Consider the following 1,431-nt stretch of genomic DNA (forward strand, 5'->3'; position numbering starts at 1 on the left):
AGGCAGGACCTGCGCTCAGGTCGCTCCTACCTCACCAGCAGGGGGCTGAACCCCACGTGATCCACTGTTGCTGAAACTTTCTGGTCTTCCATGGCATGACTCAGGTCTCCTCCTCTCGGCTCTAGCTGGTGCAGGAACCTCCCAGCTTACCTCCTGACTTCACAGTGTACCCTCCTCCCCAGCCTGCCTCGGCCCACCGGCCAGATGAGTTTGGGGTGAAAGATGTTTATTAGGGATCAACCCTTGTGAGAAGAAGGGTTGGTGGGGGAATGTTGGGCAGAGGGAGAAGTCAGTCTGCAATGCAAAATCGAGAACGCTCAGCCAACCCAGAGGGGAGCTCCAGACAGAACAAGCCCTTCAGTGCCCCAAGCAGATGGAAATGGTGGGGCCTTTATCCCCTAGAGCCCTCAGGAGGGCATGGCCTCAGGCAAAGCCGGCCCTGAAGAAGCTGACAGTCAGAGGTGGTCTCCACTGCACACCTACAACAAGGCATGTGAAGAGTGGGGAGGGACACCTCTGTGTCGACTACACCACGTCCCATCCCTGGCTGCAGGCTTCAGTGTCTCCCCACGGAGGCAGAATGCAGCTGGGCCTCCATGCTGCTCAGTTGGTGGCATTTGGCTTCTGGCTCTTTGTTAGGCCGCCCTGCCCCTGCCCTCTCCTCTCAGAGCCCTCCACCCCTCTGACCACACCCCAGAGGCTTCCTTAGCTCCTCCATGGTCTCCTCTCCCCTAGGCTGACTTCTCCCCGGAGACCACCTCCCTGGGAGCCTTGCCTGATCACTGTCTTGTGAGTATTATGCAGAACCCTCTGGGCCTCCAGCCACCCCTGCACAGCAACCACCTCCTACCCCAAGCCAGAGTAGACTAAGTCTGCCCCATGGCTCTGGGCAGACCCTGCCACAGAGCAGAAGGGACCCACCGCAAGGTGGGGAAAGATGACTGGGGTAATCAGAGAGCCAAACTCAGAGCCCCAGAGGGCTGGAGGCTTAGGGACATGAGTAACAGGGTTGGCAGTGAGCACCAGGCGCTTGTGGGACCGTGGCCCCACCTAAGGGGGATGACCTCCGCCCAGCCCCAGCCAACTCATCCAGATGGGAGTGGGCACAGTGTGGACCGATTCCTCCATTTCCCCAGAGAGCTTAGATGTCTAGGTTTTTGTTTCAATTACCTTGATTTTTGGTTAAAGTTGGCCTCTACTTTCAAATTAACAGAAACACTGGATTGTGTGACTCAAACCAAGACCCTGCAGGCCCTGGAGTGGACAAATGAATGCACCACCCCCGCTGGGGCTCAGTCACGGAGCACATGCTAACTAACTGCCTGTGTGGGCCCAGAGCCCCAGCCTCACAAAGTCCCCAGGCGGGGAGACAGCCAGGAGGCAGTGGTCTTCATGAAGAGTGAATGATTATTAGTACAATGTTTTGGGATA

The 1,431-nt window shown here is 57.3% G+C and overlaps 1 annotated feature.

The window, feature by feature from the left end:
- Positions 1-60: an enhancer, noted in NCBI's record as "active region_20456". NCBI's record gives its function as "activates an Ori minimal core promoter by ATAC-STARR-seq in GM12878 lymphoblastoid cells {active_cell/tissue: GM12878}" and the evidence as "EXISTENCE:reporter gene assay evidence [ECO:0000049][PMID:35858748]".

Source organism: Homo sapiens, chromosome 3 (genome assembly GCF_000001405.40).
Source record: "Homo sapiens chromosome 3, GRCh38.p14 Primary Assembly".
Lineage (NCBI taxonomy): Eukaryota > Metazoa > Chordata > Mammalia > Primates > Hominidae > Homo > Homo sapiens.